Source organism: Homo sapiens, chromosome 3 (genome assembly GCF_000001405.40).
Source record: "Homo sapiens chromosome 3, GRCh38.p14 Primary Assembly".
NCBI lineage: Eukaryota > Metazoa > Chordata > Mammalia > Primates > Hominidae > Homo > Homo sapiens.
In genome coordinates this window covers 184,040,598-184,065,868 of record NC_000003.12, presented here as the reverse complement: position 1 = coordinate 184,065,868, position 25,271 = coordinate 184,040,598, and the positions used below count along the sequence as shown (strand labels likewise).

The window sequence follows — 25,271 nt, the reverse complement described above, 5'->3', positions numbered from 1 at the left end:
ATCATTAAGGAGAAATGATAGTGAAAGGGTTGGTATAAGGAAAAATACATGGGCCAGGCACGGTGGCTCACGCCTGTAATCCCAGCACTTTGGGAGACCGAGGAGGGTGGATCACAAGGTCAGGAGGTCAAGACCAGCCTTGCCAACATGGTGAAGCCCCGTCTCTACCAAAAACTACAAAAAAAATTAGCCAGGTGCAGTGGCAGGTGCCTGTAATCCCAGCTACTTGGGAGGCTGAGCAGGAGAATCGCTTGAACCCAGGTGGCAGAGGTTGCAGTGAGCCAAGATTGCGCCACTGCACTCTAGCCTGGACAAGAAGAGTGAAACTGTCTCAAAAAAAAAAAAAAGGAAAAATACAGGAAGAGTAATGGAGGAAGGAGAGAGGGAGAGGGAGTAGTGGTGAAGAGCAGACAGATGAGCTTGATTTTTGGAGAAACAAATAGAGATGAAAGAAGAGAGAGGATAATTGTGAAATACGGTATTGTCCATAGACATTTTGGATTTCCAGAAGATGGAAGGAATCAAAGATAATGATGAGACAAAAACATACCATAAGAGGCTGGGCATGGTGGCTCATGCCTGTAATTCCAGCACTTTGGGAGGCCGAGGCAGGTGAATCACTTGAGGTCAGGAGTTTGAGACCAGCCCGGCCAACATGGCAAAACCCTGTCTCCACTAAAAATATTTTAAAAAATTAGCCAGGCGTTGTGGTGCACACCTGTAATCCCAGCTAGTCGGGAGGCTGTAGAAGGAGAATGGCTTGAACCCAGGAAGCAGAGGTTGTGGTGAGCCAAGATCCCACCGTTGCACTCCAGCCTGGGTGACAGAGTGAGACTCTGTTTCAAAACAAAACAAAACAAAACAGAAAAACAAAACCCCCCAAAAAACATACCATAAGAATGGTCAGATGTAGGAACTACCGAAAGAATAAGTAGGGAGAAATTACTCTTGGAGAAAGTCTTCTGAGAATTATTTAAATAATAAGAAAATAGGATAGGCATGGTGGCTCACGCCTGTAATCCCAACACTTTGGGAGGCCAAGGCGAGTGGATCACCAGAGGTCAGGAGTTCGAGACCAGCCTGACCAACATGATGAAACCCCGTCTCTACTAAAAATACAAAAAAAAAAAAAAATTAGCTGGGTCTGGTGGTGGGTGCCTGTAATCCCAGTTACTTGGGATGCTGAGGCAGGAGAATCACTTGAACCCAGGAGGCGGAGGTTGCAGTGAGCCAAGATCGCGCCACTGCACTCCAGCCTGGGCAACAGAGCAAGACTCTATCTCAAAAAAAGAAAAAAGAAAAGAAAAGAAAGAAAGAAAATAAATAATGAGACGTGAAGAGGTTGTGAGCATAACCCTAGATGCTGCCAAGGAAAGGAGAGAGTGGGACATGAGTAGAAATTACCCAGGAAGTTAGACAATAATCAAGCATTTGATGAGAGTAGTGTATCCAGGGCCAATCGTCTGATTTTTACAGAGTTCATAAATTTCCAGTGTACACTCCTACAGAGGTTTTTAATAGAAAATAGAGGAAAAAAATAAAGTTATTATCACAAGGGCTAGTGTGTTGTGTGTGTGTGTGTGTGTATGTGTGTGTATTTATTTATTTATTTATTGAGATGGAGTCTCACTCTGTCGCCGAGGTTGGAGTGCAGTGGTGCGATCACAGCGCACTGCAGCCTAGACCTCCTGGGCTCAATCGATCCTCCCACCTCAGTCCCTCAAGTAGCTGGGACTACAGGCACACGCCACCATACCCAGCTGATTGTTGTTGTTGTTGTAGAGACGAAGTCTTTTTATACTGCCCAGGCTGATCTCAAACTTCTGGGCTGAAGCAATCCTCCCACTGAGGCCTTCCAAAGTTTTGGGATTACACGCATGAGCCACCACATCCGTCCTTTTCTCTTTCTTAAAATGAGAGGTATCAGAAACCAGAACCACTCCCTCCCAAACTGTGAAACACCTGTAACGTTCCTGCTGACCTATGTTGGCTAGTAGTAGTTTAATATATTTTGCTTCATTGTCAGGTCATGTTTTACCCCACAAATCGCACTTCCACCTGAACATATCAGCAGAATGTTCTTTTGCAAAGGGCATTGTCAAACAAAAGTCTTAGCACAGAAAACCTAAAGTTGCATATGTATGAAAAAATCGCAAGATGACATCTAGAGAAATATAAACATGGAAATGGGGAAGGAAAAAGAAATGATACAAAACTGATCTTAAGAAATTTGAAATTCCTCAAAGGCTTAACAGATATTCTTCATTTTAAGTTATTGGGAAAAACCAATTGAGTTTCTGAGTGGGAGATATGTTCCAAGTAATGGAAAGGAGAAGGAAACAAGAGAATCTGATATCAGAACTGCCTTTGCCAGGATATAAGTAACATCTCCAAGAACTCAGAGATAGTTGACACATGAAGATGTGTTGCTAATTGTCCACATTCCATAAAGAAAAGAAAAGAAAATATATTGGGAAGGGATTTACAGCTAGAGCTAGTAAAATGTGGATTTTGGCTGGCTGGCATTCATTCACACATTTACTCATTCAACAATGCCGTATTCATTTCTCAAAAGAAGAAATATGCATGGCCAAGAAGCATATGAGAAAAAGCCCAATATCATTAATCATTAGGGAAATGCAAATCCAAACCACAATGATATACCATCTCACACCCGTCAGATTGGCTGTTATTTAAAAGTTGAAAAAATAACAGATGCTGGAGAGGTTGTGGAGGAAAGAGAACATGTATATGCTGCTGATGGGAATGTAAATTAGTTCAGCCACTGTGGAAAGCAGTGTGGAGATTTCTCAAAGAACTTAAAATAGAGCTACCATTTGACCCAGCAATTCTATTATAGATTATATACTCAAATGAATGTAAACCATTCTACCATAAAGACACATGCAAATGTATGTTCATTTTAGGACTATTCACAATAGCAGACATGGAATCAACCTAGAAGCACATCAGTGGTGGACTGGATAAAGAAAATATGGTTCATATGCACATGGAATACTACACAGCCATAAAAAAGGAGATAATGGCCTTTGCAGAAACATGGTTGGAGCTGGAGGCCTTATCTTAAGACAATTAACATAGGAACAGAAAACCTAGTACTGCTAGGTGCAGTGGCTCAGGCCTGTAATCCCAACACTTTGGGAGGCTGAGGCAGGTGGATCACTTGAGGTCAGGAGTTTGAGACCAGCCTGACCAACATGGAGAAACCACATCTCTACTAAAAATACAAAATTAGCTGGGCGTGGTGGCACATGCCTGTAATCCCAGCTACTTGGGAGGCTGAGGCAGGAGAATAGCTTGAGCCTGGGAGGCGAAATTTGCCATGAGCCAAGATCGCACCATTGCACCCCAGCCTGGGCAACAAGAGCAAAACTCCATCTCAACAACAACAAAAAAAACCCTAACCTGTCGGGTATTAAGCTGATTACCTGGATGACAATATTATCTGTACACCAAACCCCTGCGATATGTAATTTACCCAGGTAACAAACCTGCACATGTACCCCTTGAACCTAAAAGTTGGAAAGAAAAAAAACAAAAAAAAACCCCCAAGTCTGTGTTAAGTATCCACGATGTGCCAGATGTGGTACCATGTGCTAAACTATAAAAATGGATGAGACGTTGACCCTGATCTTTATGAAAGCATACTCTTAGGGGAGGCAGAAGGGCCAACAAATAAATCCCTGAAATGTGTTTATCCAATTGAAATATCATCCAGAAATTTGTCGCTGGTGTTTTTTGACTTTCTCTTTCAATTTCTGTTTCTCCTCAGGGTCTTTCTTGCAGCTAGCTATTAGAATTCTCCCATGATTATAGCTGTTGATGAAGGTGTGAACTACTATATTATTATTATTATTTTTGAGACAGAGTCTTGCTCTATCACCCAGGCTGGAGTGCAGTGGCACAATCTCGGCTCACTGCAACTTCTGCCTCCCAGGTTCAATCAATTCTTCTGCCTCGGCCTCCCGAGTAGCTGGGACTACGGGTGCACACCACCATGCCCAGCTAGCTTTTGTATTTTTAGTAGAGATGGGGTTTCACCATATTGGCCAGGCTGGTCTCGAACTCCTGACCTTGCAATCCATCCACCTTGGGCTCCCAAAGTGCTAAGATTACAGGTGTGAGCTACCGAGCCCTGCTGTGAACTACTATTAACAGGGAACTTAAAAAACCTTTCTTCGTTTCATTTTATTTTTAAGAGACTGGTTCTTGCTCTGTTGCCCAAGCTGGATTGCAAGGGTGCGATCGTGGCTCCCTGTAACTTTGAACTGGGTTCAAGCGATCCTCCTACCTTAGTCCCTCGAGTAGCTAGGACTACAGGCATGTACCACTGCACCTGGCTAATTTTTAATTAATTAATTAGTTAATTATTATTTTTGTAGAGACAAGGTCTCGCTTTGTTGCCCAGGCTGGTCTCAAACTCCTAGCCTCTCTCCTCGGCCTCCCAAAGTGCTGGGATTACAGGCATGAACCCCCCAGCCTCAAGCACACATATTTAGAAAGCCCGCTCTGTTTGATGTTGTGAAGTAAGAGAAACCTGTTAGAATAAAAAAGAATGACACAAGATATGATTTATTTCAAAGAGCAATTTCAGGAATGAGAGGTAAAGGAAAGTGAAAAAGAAATGGTTGCTGAAAGGAACATTTTGCATTTGTAAATATTTTATTGCAAATGAAATAATTTCTTGCAAATAAGACTTGGCCTTCTTATTCTTATAAAACTCTGAAAGTATCTAAAACCCTTAAAATCACATCAGATTACACCTGCTTAGGGGGAAGTATCAAAGCTTCTGCAAGAGGACTCTCCACCGCAGAGTTTGTAGACTTATAATAAATATAATGAAGAGGGCTGGGCGAGGTGGCTCACGCTTGTAATCCCAACACTTTGGGAGGCCGAGGTGGGCGGAACACTTAAGGTCAGGAGTTCCAGACCAGCCTGGCCAACATGGCAAAACCCTGTCTCTACTAAAAATACAAAAATTACCTGGGTGTGGTGGTGTGCACCTGTAATCCCAGCTACTTGGGAAGCTGAGGCATGAGAATCATGCCTGGGAGGCGGAGGTTGCAGTGAGCTGAGATGGCATCATTTGCACTCTAGTGTGGGTGACAGAGTGAGACTCTGTCTCAATAAACAAACAAACAAACAAACAAACAAACAAACTGAAGAGCCAGTGCTTCCTGGAAAGTTGTTTATTGGGGTGATCAATCAAGGAGAGACTCCACTGACCTGGACTTCCATTGATCAGGGAGTGAGGAGTTAGGTGGTAGCTCAGGGAGACTGAGGGTGAGCAGGAATGAGCAGCCTGAGCAGCGGTCGGGAAATCGTCCAGGGCTGTCCCGAACCTGCTTGCTAGTGCTGCGTTGGAGTCTTTGGAATTTAGAAGGGGACATGGTAGTCACTGGGGATAAGTGGCTAAGATTAGGAAAATGAGTCCGGCTGGCCCAAGACCAGCAGAAACTCCAAGCTGTTGTTTGCCAGAGAGGGGGGATGTCTGCCTAGGTGTTCCAGAGGACAATGACAGTAAGGATGGAGGAGGCCATGAAGAGCAGGTAGAGGCGGAAGAGCAGGGTGTCCATCGCGTGGCTGAACTGCACCCACAGCTCCATTAGCTGGGTCTTTGTCCATCCTGAGCCCCCATCTGGCTCGGTCTCTCTGGGTCCCAGCTTCTTCCCTGCTAACTCCCCCGGCTCCTTTGGGCCTGTGGAGAGGACAGAGGCTCAGTCATGGAGTGGGAAGGGGACAGGATTAGAGGAGTGCTGGGCCCAGTGTGAAGGGCGAGTATGGACAGTGCTGGCTTCCCTCACCAGGCAGGTGGGTGAGGGTGAGACCCAGGCCCTTATTTCCCTTCTGGGGCGCAGTGGGACAGCATCTCCCTGGGCTGGTGCAGTGGAGCAGCAGGGAGTGAAGCCACCTAGGCATGGGTGGGGGCTGGGTGGTGGCCACGTGCAGCAGGTAGGTAATGAAGACGGTCTCCAGCAGGCTGACCACCATCAGGGACAGGCACAGGGCGAAGTAGACACCTGAGGGCAGAGCAAATTATAAATAAACCAGGCAAATTTATCTCTAAGCATTCCTCACGCCTCTTTCCTAAATCCAATCTTCTTTCACAGCCCCTTCCTTCCTTCAGTGGAGCAGCGGCCATTTCTCCTGGCCCTCCTCCCTGGCCCCGGGTGCCCTTTCTCCTCCTGAAAGTGGGAGGAGCCATACTGATGAGGGGGGTGCCACTGGCAGGGAGCAAGTCATTCATCATGAGCAGGAAGACGTTGTAGCCCAGCAGAAGTGTTATCTTGAATGGGGCACGATTCTCGCTCTCTGCTGGCAGGTAGAAGCTGAGGGCATCAATGGCAACCAGAAAGCTACTGGGCACCAGCAGGTTTATGATGTAGAGGCTTGGCCTGCGCCTGATGGCCACCTGGAGAGAGACCGGAGAAGATGGCAAATAAATAGATGTCAGAGGGCTCAATTTGTATATCTGACCCCTAATCTTTGCCAATGTGCTGTGAGGCTGCTGGGGACGATCTTTTTAAGTAACACTTTTGCATATAATTGTGCTCGCCTACATAGGGGCCTCTGATTTGTTGTCTAATTTTTATTCATTTTTAACCTACTAGGAACACAATGACTGTAGAATTTTAGGTGCAAGTGGGCCCTTTAAGTCATTCTGAGCAGTAGGGGTGAGCTGATCCATTCTGAGCAGCAGGGCTTATTACAGTCCAGCCATTCCTGCCCTCTCCAGAGCAGGAGTGGGTGAATGAGGAGTGGGCAAATGGGGAGTGGGGGAGGCCTTGGGGATCCTGCTTCAGGGCAATTAGGTAGATGGGGCAGTGGGGAGCAGGTGCCCAACCCTCTGGAGCTTTATTTTTATTTTATTTTATTTTTTGAGACGGAGTCTTATTCTGTCTTGCCCAGGCTGCAGTGCAGTGGCATTATCTCAGCTCACTGCAGCCTCCGCCTCCTGGGTTCAAGTGATTCTCCTGTCTCAACCTCCCGAGTAGCTGGGACTACAGGCATGTGCCACCACACCCAGCTAATTTTTGTGTTTTTTAAATTAGAGACGGGGTTTCACCATGTTGGCCAGGCTGGTCCTGAACTCCTGACCTCATGATCCGCCTCCCTCGGCCTCCCAAAGTACTGGGATTACAGGTGTGAGCCACTGCACCCGGCCTGGAGCTTCTTTTTTGCTTCCCAAAGAGCCATAGGTCAAGAGGACAATCAAAGAGCTGCTGGGATCAGAAGTCAAACAGGGGCCCCTGGACTCACATAAAACATGATCTGGTCATATAGGTTGTTGCCCATGGACATCTTTGGGGTGGCCTTGTTGATGCCCAAGAGCTCCCACTCCCCCTGGGTTTGGATGACTTTGCGAGACGTGTCTGTGATCTCCCACACCTCCTTGTCCATGCCCAGCAGCATGCTGTCCACTGGAAGGGAGGCCGGTCAGTTCATTGCAGACGTTTTCCCAAGCCTCCCGCCCACGAAATTGGAGTCCTCCCCCACTGAGCTTCTAAACCAAATTTTCCTCTATCCTTTTAAAGCAAGGTATCCTGGTTTTCTCAGAAGTGGGTTACCCGACTAGCAATTCATATGTGTGTGGGCAGCGGCATTAATTTCTTTTGTTGTTGAAAACAAGAGTGAGTCAAGTTCGTTATGGGAATATTGGATATGACTGAAACGTGAGTCAAGAACTTTTGGAGTCATTCCTATTTTCCTTCTCAGTCCCCCAGTCGTATGGTGGTGTTTTAGTGGAATCAAGCTTGAATAGCTCAATATTTTAATAATTATAGGCATGCCCATTTTGATGGTTTTAGTTTATCCAAATCTGCCACATGACACCTGGTGGCATTCGGTTATATTAATTTACCGGTTTTTAAGTGTGTTAGCTATTAGAGTTAAAAGATTTGAGCTAAAAATTATAGGTGTGCAGCAGCTCAGAGTCAGCTGGGCCTCATTTGGCACAAGGGCCACTCAGCTTGTAAAGCAGCAGGTCGTAACCCCGTCTGCACGTTAGCATCACCTGGGCCCCACCTGGAACAATTTAATCGGCATCTGGGGTGATGTGCGCTTATTAGGCTTTTGTTTTTGTTTTTTGTTTTGTTTTGTTTTGTTTTGTTTTGAGACGGAGTCTCGCTCTGTCGCCCAGGCTGGAGTGCAGTGGTGCAGTCTCGGCTCACTGCAACCTCCACCTCCCGAGTTTCACGCCATTCTCCTGCCTCAGCTTCCCAAGTAGCTGGGACTACAGGCGCCCACCACCAGGCCAGGCTAATTTTTTGTATATTTAGTAGATATGAGGTTTCACTGTGTTAGCCAGGATGGTCTCGATCTCCTGACCTCGTGTTCTGCCCACCTCGGCCTCCCGAAGTGCTGGGATTACAGGCGTGAGCCACTGCGCCCTGCCTGTTTTTTGTTTTAAAAACAGAGTCTCACTGTGTCACCCAGGCTGGAATGCAGTGTGCAATCACAGCTCACTGCAGCCTCAGCCTCTCTGGCTCAAACAATCCTCCTGCCTCAGCCTCCCAAGTAGCTGGGGCTAATTCTTTTTATATTTTGTAGAGATGGGGGTCTCACTATGTTGCCCAAGCTGGTCTCAAACTCCTGGGCACAAGCGTTTGTCCCACCTTTGCCTCCCAAAGTGCTGAGATTACAGTGTGAACCACTGTGCCTGGCCAGTTATTGGTATTTTCAAAAAGCTTTGTTAGGCCACCGGAGTGGAGCAACACTGATCCAAAACCTTTTCTAATGATACCTACACCACTCAAATGTCTTCCCTGAATCTTAAACAGCTACCAAAATGTGTCACACTTACCTGTGTAGAGGAAAGAACTGAAGGTGAAGGTACAGTTCTGTTGGTCAAAAGGGAAGTAGAAGATGTCCAGGTTACAGATGCTGGTCACCCTCATTGGCTTATCATACTTAATTCGACCTTCACTGCTGATATAGGCAGTGAGACCGGAAGGCGTCTGATCCACATCCATGCTGTTTGGGGAAGGGAGGGAAGAGATGGAGGCTTAATCAGCTCTTGTCTCCCTTCCTTCTGGGGTCTCCCCTGCTGTGCTCTCCTTCTGGGCTCTTTCTCTTTCTATTTTTATTTTTTTGTTGTTTTTGAGACAGTTTCACTCTTGTAGCCCAGGCTGGAGTTCAGTGGTGCAATCTCAGCTCACTGCAACCTCCGCCTCCCAGGTTCAAGCAATTCTCCTGCCTCAGCCTCCCAAGTAGCTGGGATTTACAGGGATGTGCCACCACACCTGGCTAATTTTGTATTTTTAGTAGAGATGGGGGTTTCACCATGTTGGCCAGGCTGGTCTCGAACTTCTGACCTCAGGTGATCCACCTGCCTCGGCCTCCCAAAGTGCTGGGATTACAGGCGTGAGCCACCGCGCCTGGCCCTGGGCTCTTTCTTTAATGTCACTCTCTCGCCTCTTCTACTCGTAGTGATGTGTGGAAGTCAGTTCGTTGAGACTGTGTGCCTGTCTGAATCTTTCGGTGGCCCCATGCCCTGTGCTGACCCTAGGCTGTTCTCGGCAGATGAGGTTTCACGCTGGCTTCCCCAGCCTGCATACGCACGATTCCACGATGAAGATGTCTGGGAGCCACAGGTTTTCAGCTAATACTGTGAGTTTATTGATGCCAACACACTCTTTTGGGTTCCAATTAATGAAAGGATTGTCCCATACCTGCATCAGGGCAGTGAGGGACAGAGGTGAGTGACGGTGAGCTTGTCCTGTCGGCCTCTCCCACCCTTTCCATTCTTCTTTAAACCTTGATCCTCCCACTCCCATTTGTGACCCTAATAACCACAGCCTATCCCCCCATTCTTGATTTAACAAGGTGTCACCAGAAAAGTACCCCTTGATAGCCTTTTGGCAGGCAGATATTAAATATGGCCTAAAACCACTTGGAGTTAGGACCACACCAATATATTGGCCTGCACTTGGCCTTTTTTTTTTTTTTTTTTTTTTTTTTTTTGAGTTGCTATTTCAACCTTCCTAAGATTCCCAGGGAGGTTTGGGTCCCCATGGTGAGTCCAGTTCTACATGGAGTTATTTTTTCCCAGATCCCAGAAAAAGTTATACTTTGGGTAGAGGTTTGAACTAGAAAACTTTTAAGTCACTTTTTCTGTGTGTGTGTGTGTGTGTGTGATGGAGTTTCGTTCTTGTCATCTAGGATGGGGTGCAGTGGCACAATCTTGGCTCTCTGCAACCTCTGCCTCCCCGGTTCAAGCAATTTTCCTGCCTCAGCCTCCCGAATAGCTGGGATTACAGGCACCTGCCACCATGCCCAGCTAATTTTTGTATTTTTATTAGAGATGGGGTTTCACCATGTTGGCCAGGCTGGTCTCGAACTCCTGACCTCAGGTGATCCACCTGCCTTGGCCTCCCAAAGTGCTGGGATTACAGGCGTGAGCCACTGCTTCTGGCCCCTTTAAGTCACTTCTAACTCCTCAGGCTTAAAATTATAAATGAAGTGGGGAGGAGATAGTTGAATCTGCCTTACCAAATCCATCCACAGGAATGATGTCAGCAGCTGGAGCTGTGCATCCTGACAAGGAAATTTCCACTCAGGATTATTAGTGTTAAAAGGTTTGGCCAATGCCCACCTCATATTCCCACCAATATTTACTAATTTATTGGGCCAGGCATTGTTGTAGATGCTGAATTGTCTTTTCCTCACTCGTTTCCCCTGTGTCTATGGGCAATTCTGATTTTGATTAATATACAGACTACTTTTTTCTAGAGCATTCTAGAAATGACAGGATTCAAAGACAAATGCCTTCCTGAAAAAACATCACTGCAGTATTCTTCTTCGTGCCTCTCCATCGCATAGGAAAAGCATCTAACTTGCGTTAAATCCATCCAGGGTGCCTATTGTTCACCACGGGGCCAGGGCCATGTTGGGTTGACAGGGCAGAGGGTCCTCGTTCCTTATTAGAAGCCATGGAAAAGATGCAGGGACTAAGTCTCACCACTCCCAGGATGGCAGACAGGGTGAAGGAGATGTTGACACGGGTAGGGATGCTGTAGTTGGTGAATGGACGGAAGGCCTTTCTGTCAAACACTGCTTGGAAGACAGCAGGGTCAACCCCATGCTGGTCAAAGCCTGAGCAATTGATGGTAAAAGCGTCGCCTCTTCCTATAGAGAGCAGAGACTCCGTGAGAGAGGGACTCTATTTCCAGGGCTGGAGTCTCTCTGCAGAGAGATAAAATAGGGGACGTACTGAGAGGAGCAGGTGAGCCCCTCCTTCCCATGCCAAGACTCCCCAAGGCCATGGTTGGGGAGGATGGGCTGGGCTGGTAGGCAAATGGTGGAAGTGGATGTGGTGAGCTGAGGTCAGGGCTCTATTCTCATTCCCATTGCTTCATCCTCATGCAAAGTTTGCCCAAATCTGTATGAAAACTTGGCCTAAGTGCAATGGCAGCTACTTCCAGGAGTCCTTTAATGTACCCATCACAAGACTCTTGGCTCACCTAGCAGTAGAACTGCCCAAAACTTGTGGTCCAAGTCACCTAAAAATCGATGCTAATGTATTTCTCTCTCTAACTCTTAGGATCTTAAGTCTACTGAAGGCAAGAACTGATTTATCAAGAGGATAAGAGACATTTTACACAACTGCACTCACCAGGTAGATATGAGAAACACGGTAGGTATCTGACTGGGTGCTTACCTTGGTGCTATGCATTTATTTTGCTCTTCTCAGATTTAGTGACCTCAGTTGTCTCGTGGGTTATTTCTAGCATCGGGATCATGAGGTGACATCACTGAGCATACAGCATTTGTTCAGTCACAAAGTGAGGCCGGTGTGCCGGGCGCGGTGACTCACGCCTGTAATCCCAGCACTTTGGGAGGCCGAGGTGGGCGGATCACAAGGTCGAGAGATCGAGACCATCCTGGCCGACATGGTGAAACCCCATCTCTACTAAAAATACAAAAATTAGCTGGGCATAGTGGCGCTCGCCTGTAATCCCAACTACTCAGGAAGCTGAGGCAGGAGAATCGCTCAAACCCGAGAGGCGGAGGTTGCAGTGAGCCAAGATCGTGCCACTGCACTCCAGCCTGGGCGACAGAGCGACACTTCATGTCAAAAAACAAACAACAACAACAACAAAACCACAAAGTGAGGCCGGTGCAGATATTGTCTCTCGGCCATGGCCAGGGAGTCATCTGGGTAGTACCTGAGTGGCATCTTTGCTCCATCGCCATCATTATATGGTCCTTTTCTCTGCCTCCTTCTCTCTATCTCCATCTCTTTCCATAATATTTAAGGTATGTGTCCAGATTGGGAACAAATATTACCTCATGGAAGCAAAATATCTGCTCATTTCCACCTCAGATTGTCCCCTCCCTCAGGGCATGTTTAAAATCAGTGGCTACTCTTCTCATAGATATCATGTCAGGAGAAACAGAGACAAGGAGAGGGGGAAGAAGGGTGTGGTAGTGGAGCATCAGAAGTCAGTGAAAAGGTGGAATTGGAGAAGTGGTGAAATGAGACAGTTTGATAGATCCCTGTGCAGGCAGGAACAGAGAAAGTCTGTGTGCACTCATCAGTGAACTGTCTTTCTATCTGTCACCAAAAGGAAATCAGGACACAGACATTATGGAAGAAATATTTAACACATTAATTCTGAATGCCCTCCAAGTGCTAGAGGTGAGTCCAGGTGTCCCTCGGAACCACACTCTGGTCTTCCCTGTTCTCGTCCCATCTTACCTTGAAGCAGAAGACTGACAGTGAGGCAGAGGAGGGCACTCTGCCTTGCAGGCCACCCTCCTTCCATTCTTCTTTCTGGACTCTTCTCTGGGGATTCACCAGGAGCTCCCAAACCCTGGAGCTTAAAGGAGCTCAGACCACACCCTGGTTGCTGGTTTTGAATACTACTCATGGCAAGTGACCACTCCCTGTGACAGCCTGTGACCAGAGAGGTCCCAGCCAAGTGTCCTGCATTGGCTCTGCCCAGATGCACCTTCCGGGCTCCAGGCAGGCAGGAAATTGGGCGGACACTAGGGGAAAAGCATTCTATTTGGCAGCTGTGTGCTGAGATCCAAAACAAAATAACGTGCCTTAATGAGAGAATGTAGGCTGGGGAAATTAGGATTGTGTGCTTCCAAGACCAGGGAATCTGTGTGCACCAAGACCAGGTGCAATACTTAGTGATTTGGTTATGAATACCAAAGTATCTTTTTTTTTTTTTTTGAGACAGAGTCTCTCTCTGTCACCCAGGCTGGAGTGCAGTGGCACGATCTTGGCTCACTGCAACCTCCACCTGCCTGGTTCAAGCGATTCTCCTGCCTGCCTCAGCCTCCTGAGTAGCTGGGACTACAGGTGTGTGCCACCACACCCGCCTAATTTTTTGTATTTTTAGTAGAGACGGGGTTTCGCTGTGATAGCCAGGATGGTTTCGATTTCCTGACCTCGTGATCCACCCACCTCAGCCTCCCAAAACGCTGGGATTACAGGCGTGAGCCACCGCGCCCGGCCCCCTTACCAAAGTATCTTACAGCTTTTGTTGACATTGGAATTATTCCAAATGCCAAATTATAAAGCTTGGTTCATACCTTCATCATCTAGTGTCTATGCTTTTCCAGTAGCCCCTAACTAGATTTCCTCTTTACAGCGTCTCTGCCTTTCTGATTTATTCTCTCCAAACCAATGTTCTCCGTATAATTTTTAGGCTATGCACTGATTACATGATAATAGAACTCATAAAATTAAGATAGTAACACTTTGTGCTGTCAATAGTGTTAATATATAGCATTATTGTAAACTAGTAATCTCAGCTAACATCAATATCATTGGCATGTGTTAATATTATGTCTTATGTCACCACATTCCTATTAAAAAAAATTGGCTCAAATGAATGAATTGGAGCATTTTTATTTCAAGTATCTTAGCTACGTTTCCAGAAAGACTTGGACAGTTTTTCCTTGCAGAAAGGGTGAAGGGCCAGATGTAGAATACAAAAAAAACTTTGTTCAGAATTAGTGATCATGACAGCCCTAAGTAGAAAGTGCTGAGAAATGCAGGAATGACTTAGAGGCCCAAAGTAGGAAGGCACAGGAGAGGGCTGCAGTGGATTCCATTTGAGGTTTGCGGTAGCTGCAGTCCTTCAGACCTACCACCTCTGCAAGTAATTTCTTCCCTGACTTGGAAACTTGGCCAACTTGAGCCAGAGGTTGAAGGGAAAGAAAGAATCAAAGAGGGGAGAAAGAGAGGCAGAAAGGTGGCTAGAAGTACTGGAGTGGAAGGAGTGAGAAAGGGAGGAATAGAAGGGAACAGAGGAATTGCTAGAAAACCTGCTCCAGGCCAGGCACGGTGGCTCATGCCTGTAATCCCAACATTTTGGGAGGCCGAGGCAGGAAGACCGCTTGAGCCCAGGAGTTTGAGACCAGCCTAGGCAACACAGTGAGACCCCATCTCTACAAAAGGTAATTTTTTTTTTTTTTGAGACAGAGTCTTACTCTGTCACCCAGGCTGGAGTGCAGTGGCGCAATCTCGGCTCACTGCAACCTCTGCCTCCTGGGTTTAAGCGATTCTCTGCCTCAGCCTCCCGAGTAGCTGGGACTACAGGCACGCGCTACCACGCCCAGCTGATTTTTGTATATTTAGTAGAGACGGGGTTTCACCATGTTGGCCAGGATGGTCTTGAGCTCTTGACGTCGTGATCCACCCGCCTCAGCCTCCCAAATTACTGGGATTACAGGTCTGAGTCACCGCACCCGGCTAAAAAGTAATTTTTAAAAGGAGCCAGGTGTGGTGACATGTGCTTATAGTTCTCACTACTTGGGATGCTGAGGTGAGAGAATTGCTTCAGCCCAGGAAGTGAAGGCTGCAGTGAGCCATAATGGTGCCACTATGCTCTAGCCTGAGCAACAGAGCAAGACCCTGTAAGAAAGGGGAAGGGAAGGGAAAGGAAGGGAAGGGAAGGGAAGGGAAGGGGAGGGGAGGGGAGGGGAGGGGAGGGGAGGGGAGGGAAGGGAAGGGAAGGGGAAGGGGAAGGGGAAGGGAGAAAGGGAAAGAAAGAGAAAGAGAGAGAGAAGGAAGGAAAGAGAAAGAAAGAGAAAGAGAAAGAGAAGGAAGGGAGGGAGAAAGACACGAGCTACTCAGGAGGCTGATGCAGGAGAATGACTTGAACCCGGGAGGTGAAGGTTGCAGTGAGCCGAGATCACGCAACTGCACTTGAGCGTGACTCCGTCTCAAAAAAAAGGAAGGTAGGAAGGAAGGAAGGAAGGAGTGAGAGAGAGAGAGAGAAGGAAGGCAGGAAGGCAGGAAGGAAGGAAGGAGAAAGAAATAAAGGAAAGAAGGAAGGAAAACTGCTCATGGTTTAGAGCTCTCCTTCATGACTTGAAAGGGTTCAGCTGGGAGACATGTTAGCATCTGCAACATAAGGTACTGGCTGACACAAGGAGGAAGTTGTTGTCATGAGGGCTGGGGCAACTGGCCAGGCTACAGATGCCTTTCCAAGCCAGGAAGCCAGGTGGTTCTATACATAATGTACCTTTAAAGCAAGTCAAACACAGGTGCGATCTAGGACAGATCTGGAAAGCCAGGTGTGTGAATGGCCCTGGAAGTGGATGGAAGAAGAGAGAGCAGCAAATGAGATCCTAGGACCCTTGGTTTTGGACTATACAAGGCATCAATCTGGGGGATAGGCGCCCTGGAAAAAAATGGGCTATAATCAGGGTGATTCTCAGCTTAAAAGGAGGGACGTTGGGGCTGAGGATGACTTAACAACCTGGTAGAAATTGAGCGTGAAATCTATCCTTTAGATTTGACCCATCATGCCATTTAGGACCAAAGTACAATGTCACCATGTGACTTGGAGAGTGTCTCCTGGGAGTGCCTGCCTCCTCTGTCCCTTCTCCAGTGGGCTCTCAGAAAGGGGAGGTCAGCCATATTTAGACAGAGCTTCAGTAGCTGAGATATCTTTTTTTTTTTTTTTTTTTTTGAGATGGAGTTTTGCTCTTGTCACCCAGACTGGAGTACAATGGCGTGATCTCGGCTCACTGCAACCTCTGCCTCCAGGGTTCAAGCGATTCTCCTGCCTCAGCCTCCCAATAAGCTGGGATTACAGGTGCGTGCCACCACGCCCGAATAATTTTTGTATTTTTAGTAGGGATGGGGTTTCACCATGTTGGCCAGGCTGGTCTTGAACTCCAGACCTCAGGTGATCCGCCTGCCTCGGCCTCCCAAAGTGTTGGGATTATAGGCATGAGCCTCCATGCCTGGCCCGGATATCATTTTTCTAAGGCCATCAGGATTACCTGTTCCCTACATTCCTACATTCTCTGGAATATCCTGGGTAGTCTTTAGGGCTCCTATTTTAATTCCCAGCACATGTCCTTCCTAAGCCAAGCTATGGGCTTTCATGGTGGCTCAGAAGCTCTTCTCTGACTCAGAGGTCACTGCGGAAGGGTCAGGGACTTCCTCCACACTGTCTTCTTTCTCTGCGCATCTTTGGAGCTTATGTCTTGGGTTTACATATCTCTAGAATTCTTGGGCACTCGGCCAGGAAAACATCTAGAAATACAGCCTCTGAATCTAGGCTTTAACTGGCTCCTTGGGTAATTCTGGGTCCAGTTGGGATTCTTATGAGCCTGGGGTTACCTAGAGCAGGGTTTCTTAACCTTAGCACTGTTGGCATTTGGGGCCGGGTAATTCTTTGCAGAGTTGTCCTATGCATTGTAGGATGTTTAGCAGCAACTCTGGCCCATCAGGTGCCAGTAGCATCCCCCCGCCCTAGCTGCAACCATTAATAATGTCTCTAGAGATTGCCAAAGGTCTTCTTAGGGGTAAAATTGCCTGCACTTGAGAACACTTGGCAAGTTGGGATTCTAGAAATTTAATGCTTTTTAAAATCCCAAACGACAATAGGGTGGTCATCATGTCCTCTCCTCTCCTCCCACCCCCTGTTCTGACTGACAAGACAATTCCTGGCCTCTCTCATAAAACTCCCAGTATGGACTGGCAGCAGACACTTGAGACTCCTGTCCAGGCACTTTAGTATTGGTACCGGGTGTCTGCTGGGCCGTACTCTGGGGATCGGAAATAGGGAGGTTGGGCAATAGATTCCCTAAGACTTTAGGACATCAAGGTGGAACTTCTTCAGAAGGGCTGGAACACAGACACTGGATTTAGGAGCACAGTGCTGGGCTCCGGCGCCAGGCCAGCCAGTAAGGCCTGCGTGAGTAGGCACGAGAGCTTGTTCTACTCTGAAATGAGGGCAAGTGTCACCTTTCATCAGTTTCATAAGCCCTGTGGAGGCACCGTGTGAGTATTGTCCTGACCTGGGATGCATAGCTTGCTCTGGCTGAGGGTACCCAGGGTGGCTGAATAGTCAGAATCGGACATTGCAGAAAGGCTAGAGGCTGGACACAGGAGCACGTGGGCCTTCAGAGGCTCAGGAGAGCCAGAGGTTGTTTGAGTCAGTGCTAAGGACACTGCTGGGCTGGGTTTCCAAGGCCTTCATGTTTGGGGGTGCAGCCCTAGATCTGTTGGAGAATACCATCAAATCAGGTGTGGGTGTTTCCAGAAAACTTTGTGTTTCCTTGGGATTCCCTAAACCTTGGTTGCAGGTCTGCAATAGCTATGCCTGAGTTGACTGGAAAAGCATTTCCTTCAGCCTAGAGCTGCCCATCCTTTAGGTGCCCCTTGTTGGAGAATGGCCTTGTGCAGCATAGCCAGCCTTCCCAGGAGGGTAGAAAGTTAAGGCGAAGAATCTCTCTGGCAACCGTGCATTACCATCAAAACCCTCCAGCTTCACACCTGGTCACCTCCTTAGTGGTCTCACTCCTAGTTTGGTATTTTCTACATTATCTATCCTTCTAGATTATTCTGAGTTCATTTGTTTGAAATGCAAATCTGACCATGTCTTTCTTTCTTTTTTTTTTTTTTTTCTTTGTTTTGGAGACAGAGTCTTGCTCTGTCGCCCAGGCTGGAGTGCAGTGGTGTGATCTCGGCTCACTGCAACCTCCGCCTCCCGGGTTCAAACAATTCTCCTGCCTCAGCCTCCCAAGTGGCTGAGACTACAGGCTCACGCCACCATGCCTGGCTAATTTTTTGTATTTTAGTAGAGATGGGGTTTCACTGTGTTGCCCAGGCTGGTCTTGAACTCCTGAGCTCAGGCAATCCACCCGCCTCAGCCTCCCAAAGTGCTAGGATTACAGGCGTGAGCCACCGCACCCGGCTGACCCTGTCTTTCTTATACTTGAAATTTTGCAATGGCTCCCATTGTTGATAGCAGTTAAAATTGTTGGGCCTGAGAATCTGCATTTCCAGTGAACTTCCAGGTGTTGCTGCTGCTGCAGCCAGCTGGTCTTGGGACCACACTTGGAGAACCATAGGCCTACACAATGAAATGCTCCTGAGCATGATGTAAAATACACTCCCTGACTTAACTCTCACCTAGCTCCCCATCATTTTTGCCCGGAATTTTATGTTCTAAAAGAGTTATTCTTATCTTTAACGTGTATCAGAATTACCTCATGTGCTCTACCCTCACACTTCTGTCCCTAAATCACAGTCTTGGCCCCAAATCAGAAGTGCAGGCAGTTGTGCTCAGGAATTTCCATTTCATTCGTGGATGATTCTAATATGGGTGGGCCATGGACCACACATGGAGAAACATACTACTAAACAGCACCCCCCGCCACACAATACGTGATTTTACACCTCTATATTTTTCTCAATCTAAAATACACCTTCTACCATTGTTTTCCTGTGCTATTAATCAATTCTTTTTTTTTTTTTTTGAGACAGAGTCTCGCTCTGTCACCCAGGCTGGAGTGCAGTGGCGCGATCTCAGCTCACTGCAGCCTCTGCCTCCCAGGTTCAAGCAATTCTCCTGCCTCAGCCTCCTGAGTAGCTGGGACTACAGGTGCGTGCCACCACGCCCAGCTAATTTTTTTGTATTTTTAGTAGAGACAGGGTTTCACTGTGTTGGCCAGGATGGTCTCAATCTCTTGACCTCGTGATCCACCCACCTCGGCCTCCCAAAGTGCAGGGATTACAGGCATGAGCCACCATGCCTGGCCTAATCTGTTCTTTTTTTTTTCTTTTGAGACGGAGTCTCACTCCGTCGCCCAGGCTGTAGGGCAGTGGCACAATCTCTGCCTCTGCGTTCAAGCAATTCTCCTGCCTCAGCCTCCTGAGTAGCTGGGACTACAGGCGTGGGCCACTATACCTGGCTAATTTTTTTGTATTTTAGTAGAGATGGGGTTTCACCATGTTGGCCAGGCTGGGCTTGAATCCTGACATCAGGTGATCCGCCTGCCTCTGCCTCCCAAAGTGCTGGGAATACAGGCATGAGCCACTGCACCCAGCCAATCAATTCTTAAAGATTCAGCTCAGCTCAAGTGTCTGGTCTTCTGTGAAGCCTTCCTGTTGCAAGCACATGCATGCCTGCACACACCTGAACTCTATCATGACCCCTACATTGGAAGCATCTTTTTGCATGTACATCTCCCCTACTGCTCTGTAACATCTTGGAGAGCAGGAATCACATCTTCTTCTTTTTTGTACCCCCAGTATATGGCATGTAATAGTAGGCAGTCAATAAATGTTTGTTAAATGCCTGGACTGCCAGTTCACTATGCATGAGCGGAGGGGACACAGGCACCCTGGGAGGATGTAAGAGGTGGTTGGGAGCTGCACGGGAGTCCTGAGGCCATATCAGAGAAGTTAGCTGCTGTTTCTGTGGTGTGGCTGGGGTGTGGGCCTTTGTCTTGGGTGCGGTCTGGTAGAGATAGGGGTAGGTAGAAGCACTGCGGTCTGCAGCAGGTGGGATCCGGAGGGCTGAAGCCAGGGCCTAGCCTTTTCTTTCTTTCTTTCTTTTAATTTTATTATTTTTTTGAGACAGAGTCTCACTCTGTCACCCAGGCTGGAGTGCAGTGGCATGGTCTCGGCTCACTGCAACCTCCGCCTCCTAGGTTCAAGTGATTCTCCTGCCTCAGCCTCCCAGGTAGCTGAGAATACAGGTGCGCACCACCACACCCAGCTAATTTTTGTATTTTTTTTAGTAGAGATGGGGTTTTGCCATGTTGGCCAGGATGGTCTTGAACTCCTGATCTCAAGTGATCCACCTGCCTCGGCTTCCCAAAGTTCTGGGATTACAGGCGTGAGCCACCACGCTCAGCCCCAGCCTTTTATTTCTGAATGCTTCTCTAACTTTCCAGAAAATGCCAGGCTCAGAATAGTCTACCAGAGCCACCACCAACTGAGTTTGTGCCATGTGCCCTATACTGTGCTAAGCACTTTACTTACAGCATTCTTATCCTCATGACTGCTTTCAGACAGAATTCTCATTTTACAGATTGGAAAACTGAGGCTGGGGTGTAGTGATTCACACCTGTAATCCAGCACTTTGGGAGGCCAAAGTGGGAAGATCGCTTAAGGCCAGGAGTTTGACACCAACCTGGGCAATATAGTGAGACCCCATTTCTACATATGCCTGTAGTCCCAGTTACTTGGGAGGCCGAGGCAGGAGGATCGCTTGAGCCTAGGAGTTCAAGGCTGCAGTGAGCCATGATTGCACCACTGCACTCCAGCAAGACCCTGTCTTACAAAAGAAAGAGGCTGGGTGGGGTGCCTCACACCTGTAATCTCAGCACTTTGGGAGGTTGAGGCAGGCAGATTGCTTGAGCTCAGAGGTTTGAGGCTAGCCTGGGTGACATGGTGAAACTCCATCTCTACAAAGAATACAAAAATTAGCCAGGTGTGGTGGCGCATGCCTTTAGTCCCAACTACTTAGGAGGCTGAGGTGGAGGTTGCAGTGAGCTGAGATCACACTGCCCTCCAGCCTGGTTGATTGAGTGAGACCCTGTCAAAAAAGAAACAAAAAGAAGGAAGGAAAGAAGAAAGGAAGCAAATAAAGAAAGAAAGGAAAGGAAAGGAAACTGAGGGGCAGAGAGGTCCAAAATCTTACTCAGGCCGGGCATGGTGGCTCACGCCTGTAATCCCTGCACTTTGGGAGGCCGAGGCAGGTGGATCACCTGAGGTCAGGAGTTCGAGACCAACTTGGCCAACATGGTGAAACCGCGTCTCTACTAAAAATACAAAAATTAGCCAGGCATGATGGTGGGTGCCTGTAATTCCAGCTACTCGGGAGGCTGAGGCAGGAGAATCACTTGAACCCAGGAGGTGGAGGTTGCAGTGAGCTGAAATCGCACCACTGCACTCCAGCCTGGGCGACAGAGTGAGACCCTATCTAAAAGCAAAACAAAACAAAACAAAACAAAAAACAAACAAGAAAAACAACAAAAAAAAAACTTGCTCAGTGTCCACTCAGGTGGAAATTGGTAGAATCCAGATTCAAAGCCAGATTAATCTGATTCTATTGCTCTTTCTTTGCTCTTTTTATTATTTCACAGCTAGGGAATCTTGTTGACTGGTTCATTATGTTCCTAGGTTTTCATCAGTGAAATCCCTGGGCCTGAACAGTGCTTGGATCCCAAGGTAAATAGCAGGGGCAGCAGCTATAGTTTTGCAAATCACAGGTACCAATATCTAGCTCCTCAGCTTATCCCAAGAGGATCACACTGCATGGCCCCTGGTGGTCCGTTCATCTGGGACTCTGGGAGATCAGATTTGGAATATAGATGTTAGCTGGCAAGGGCAGAATTTGATGGTGGAAGGAGGCTGTGAGGGCTGCCATTCTGCATCCCGGATAGATGGCAATCACATGCAGAGGGCATTGGCCAGGGCTAGGGAGCTGGGAGAGCAGGAGGTATCTAAAGCACCCAAATCACCAGCTGGGTCACCAGCTGAGGTCAGGCTGCTATAGTGCCTGGGAGCAGGAGAGTGGGAGCGTCCTGGGCCTCCTGAGCCGCACCTAGGATAAAAGGCTGATGGACAAGCCTTCACCTGTGGCTGCCACTTTCACAGGCCCAGGCTCTTTTCCCAGGCACTGTTGAATGATGATAACTTCATACTTGTCACTTCACTTCTCTCCACTTCATTTTTCCCATCTGAAAAAGGAGGGGGTTGACCTGGAAATCTGTAATTCTTTATGTCTCTTGCCTCCCACCTAGAAGACTGTTTTGCACTTCAGATTTCAGCCTGTGTGAAAAATGGACGCTCTCTGGTGTTTCACATTCAGTTTTGCAGCTTCTATCAACTTATTAATAATTGTCAATAGCAATATTCGAAACATAATTTAATCTGTGTTATTAGCTCTACTTCACAAATGAAAAAAATTTTTAATATATAAGGTTAAGCCACTTGGCCAATATGATCCAACTAGCAAGTAATGGCATCAGATTAAAAACCCAGGACAGCCAGATGCCAGATTTCTCTCTACTGTACCTTCGTTTTTTTCCTGCTGTATAAAAGAACCAGTGCCAATGAACTGTCAAATAAGAGAGGTTATCAAAGGGAGAATCAGAAATAGAAGAGGAGAAAAAGGACAGGTTTGAAACAATGCCTGTGGCTTCACATCCTAGAGTAGACCTGAAGGAAGGGGCAGGGCCTTCCTTCAGGTCCTTCAGGTCCTGCCCTGAAACACGATAACAAGACAAATATTCTAGTGTGAAGTTAATATGGAACCAAAAGAAAGTAGATTAAACATGGAAAAATGCTTTTTTTTTTTTTTGAGACAGGGTCTCACTCTGTCACCCAGGCTTCAGAGCAGTGGCGTGATCTCGGTTCACTGCAGCCTTGACCTGCCAGGCTCAAGAGATCCTCCCACCTTGGCCTCCTAAGTAGCTGGGACCACAGGTGCATGTCACCATGCCATGACTAATTTTTCGTATTTTTTGTAGAGATGAGGTTTAGACTGTTGCCCAGGCTGGTCTCGAACTCCTGAGCTCAAAGGATCTGCCTGCCTTGGCCTCCCAAAGTGCTGGGATTACAGGCGTGAGCCACCATACCTGGCTGAAATACTGTTTATAATGGTTTAGATAATGAGAAAGTGAACATGTGAGAACCACAGGATAGCACTGCAGATGAATGGACAAAGTGAGGAGCTGCCAGGCAGAAACAGGCTGTCAAATGCAAGGTGGCACAGGAGGGACCAGTGCCTGTCAGCAAGGTTTCTAAAGAGGTCATAAATTACCTTGCAAAGCCTTTCAGAGGTTTGCCAGATAACAAGAGGAAAGTCATTAGCACAAACTGTACTTATCATATGATTCTATTATAGATGGAACAGCAAAGCAGCAGGCACACCTGTTAATTTTGTGGGAGAGCTCCAGATTCAAAGGTTCTGTATGATTACCATTGATGTTAGGATCACATGTTCAGATTTTGCTTGTGGAGAAAATAAAATCACTATAATTATATCATGCCTTCTCTTACTAAAAGGAGATATATAGAATATTAATCCATGTGTCAAAAAAGATAAACTGCACACTTCTGTTAAAATAAAACTTAAAGCTACATTTTGGGGAAAATGTGAAGAAACGAAGCAGAGAAATATGTACCTGGCCAGACATGGTGGCTCCCACCTGTAATCCCAGCACTTTGGGAGGCCGAGTTGGGCAGATCACCTGAGGTCAGGTGTTCGAGACCAGCCTGGCCAACATGGTAAAACCCCGTCTCTACTAAAAGTACAAAAAAATTAGCCAGGCATGGTGGCGCATGCCTGTAGTCCCAGCTCAGGAGGCTGAGGCAGGAGAATTGCTTGAACCTGGGAGGCAGAGGTTGCAGTGAGCCAAGATTGCACCACTGTACTCCACCACTGTACTCCAGCCTGCGTGACAGAGTGAAACTCTGTCTCAAAAAAAAAAAAAAAAAAAAAAGAAAGAGAAAGAAAAAGAAAGAAATATGTACCTGAAGATGGGGGGAAGACAAAATAATGCAAATTGATCTTAAATAATTTCAGAGCCCCTCAAAAGCTGGGTAAACAAGCTACTCTGAAAAAGTTGAGGGTGAGTTTTCAAGTGAGAATGACCATCTCAGTATGGGGTTATAGGAGTGGAAGGTCCGCAAGGGTCTGGCAGTACAATGTACATTAGCAGCCAAAAAACTAAATCCAGAGGGAGCACAGAGAAAAGATGAATCGGTCAGAGTCGATTTGGGAAATACACTTTCCAGAAAGGAATGGAGAAAGTATAAATAGTGAACTTAGGTGCTGGGCCTTATGACGGGGTAAGGAGAGAGTGGGTAAGGGATAGAGGTGGGACTTGGGAAAATGGCGGAGGGAGTAAAAGGAAATGTAAAAGAAAGTTTGTCTTTGGGACCCTGATCAGGGCCTTGCTCTTGCTGTTTTAATTCTCCTAAAGTGTCAGCTGATAGAGACTTGAAGTGATACCGATGTCTCCATATGGGACTCTGAGCACCTCTCTGGGTTTCCTCCTCAATTTGGAAAGCAATGTAGCAGACAGGTTAGGAGTCCAGCCTCTAGGAGTCAGCCAGCCTCGGGTCAGACTGCAGCTCTGTCGCTTAACTAGCTGTGGAACCTTGTGAGGCCACTAACTGGCCTCTCTGTCTTCATGTTCTACAGGTAAAAAATGGAGACAATAATACAAAACCACAGTTCTAAAATCTAAAGAGCTTGGAAAACTAAATGATTTTTTACAAATATTTGGTGGCGGCCGGGCGTGGTTCCTCATGCCTGTAATCCCAGCACTTTGAGAGGCCGAGGCGGGTGGATCACCTGAGGTCGGGAGTTCGCGACCAGCCTGGCCAACATAGTGAAACTCTGTCTCTACTAAAAATACAAAAACTTAGCCGGGCATGGTGGCGGGTGCCTGTAATCCCGGCTACACGGGAGGCTGAAGCAGGAGACTCGCTTGAACCCGGGAGGCGGAGATCGTGCTGAGATTGTGCCATTGCACTCCAGCCTGGGAAACAAGAGCGAAACTCCGTCTCAAAAAAAAAAAAAAAATACACCAAATATTTGGTGGCAAAACAGACCAGAATTGATGCAAAGCTATTCATAGTTTTATTTTTTCCACCTAGTGTGAATATTCTTAGATTTCATTGCAGAAATATTAATCTGCTGGTTACAGGGTGCTGCTCCATACCCCAGTTGGGGCGTCAGTAACATATAGTAAATAAATGCACACTTATGACCTTTTTAAAATCTGAAAAATTCCGAACTCCAAAACACATTTGGCTCCAAAGGTTTTTGAATCTATGGTTCCTACTTCATAGCGTTACTATGAGCATTCACACGGCGCACTTAGAGTGCCTGCCGCGTATTAATAACTCAGTAACTGGTGGTTATTATTACTAGTACTGTGTCTTTCCTGAAGGCCCACCTTTTAGAAATCTGTGAGTTGAGGAACTGCCAAAATAATGACAGACACAGCAATTTACTTAGGTGAAT

General features: G+C 47.1%; 1 protein-coding gene across 1 annotated transcript, besides 1 other annotated feature; it reads right to left on the bottom strand.

Moving 5' to 3' along the window:
- Positions 5,196-12,822, bottom strand: HTR3C (5-hydroxytryptamine receptor 3C). The gene is made up of 9 exons (NM_130770.3): positions 12,722-12,822; positions 10,982-11,148; positions 10,513-10,557; positions 9,583-9,692; positions 8,825-8,994; positions 7,282-7,442; positions 6,229-6,433; positions 5,826-6,041; positions 5,196-5,719 (listed from the first exon to the last, which is right to left on the bottom strand). Exons 1-9 carry the CDS (start codon positions 12,786-12,788, stop codon positions 5,517-5,519), a joined length of 1,344 nt encoding a protein of 447 aa, NP_570126.2. The 5' UTR covers positions 12,789-12,822; the 3' UTR covers positions 5,196-5,516.
- Positions 11,068-12,267: an enhancer, noted in NCBI's record as "BRD4-independent group 4 enhancer chr3:183771390-183772589 (GRCh37/hg19 assembly coordinates)". NCBI's record gives its function as "activates an origin of replication core promoter dependent on BRD2, P300/CBP, MED14 and CDK7 cofactors, and independent of BRD4, by STARR-seq in HCT116 cells {active_cell/tissue: HCT116}" and the evidence as "EXISTENCE:reporter gene assay evidence [ECO:0000049][PMID:35650434]".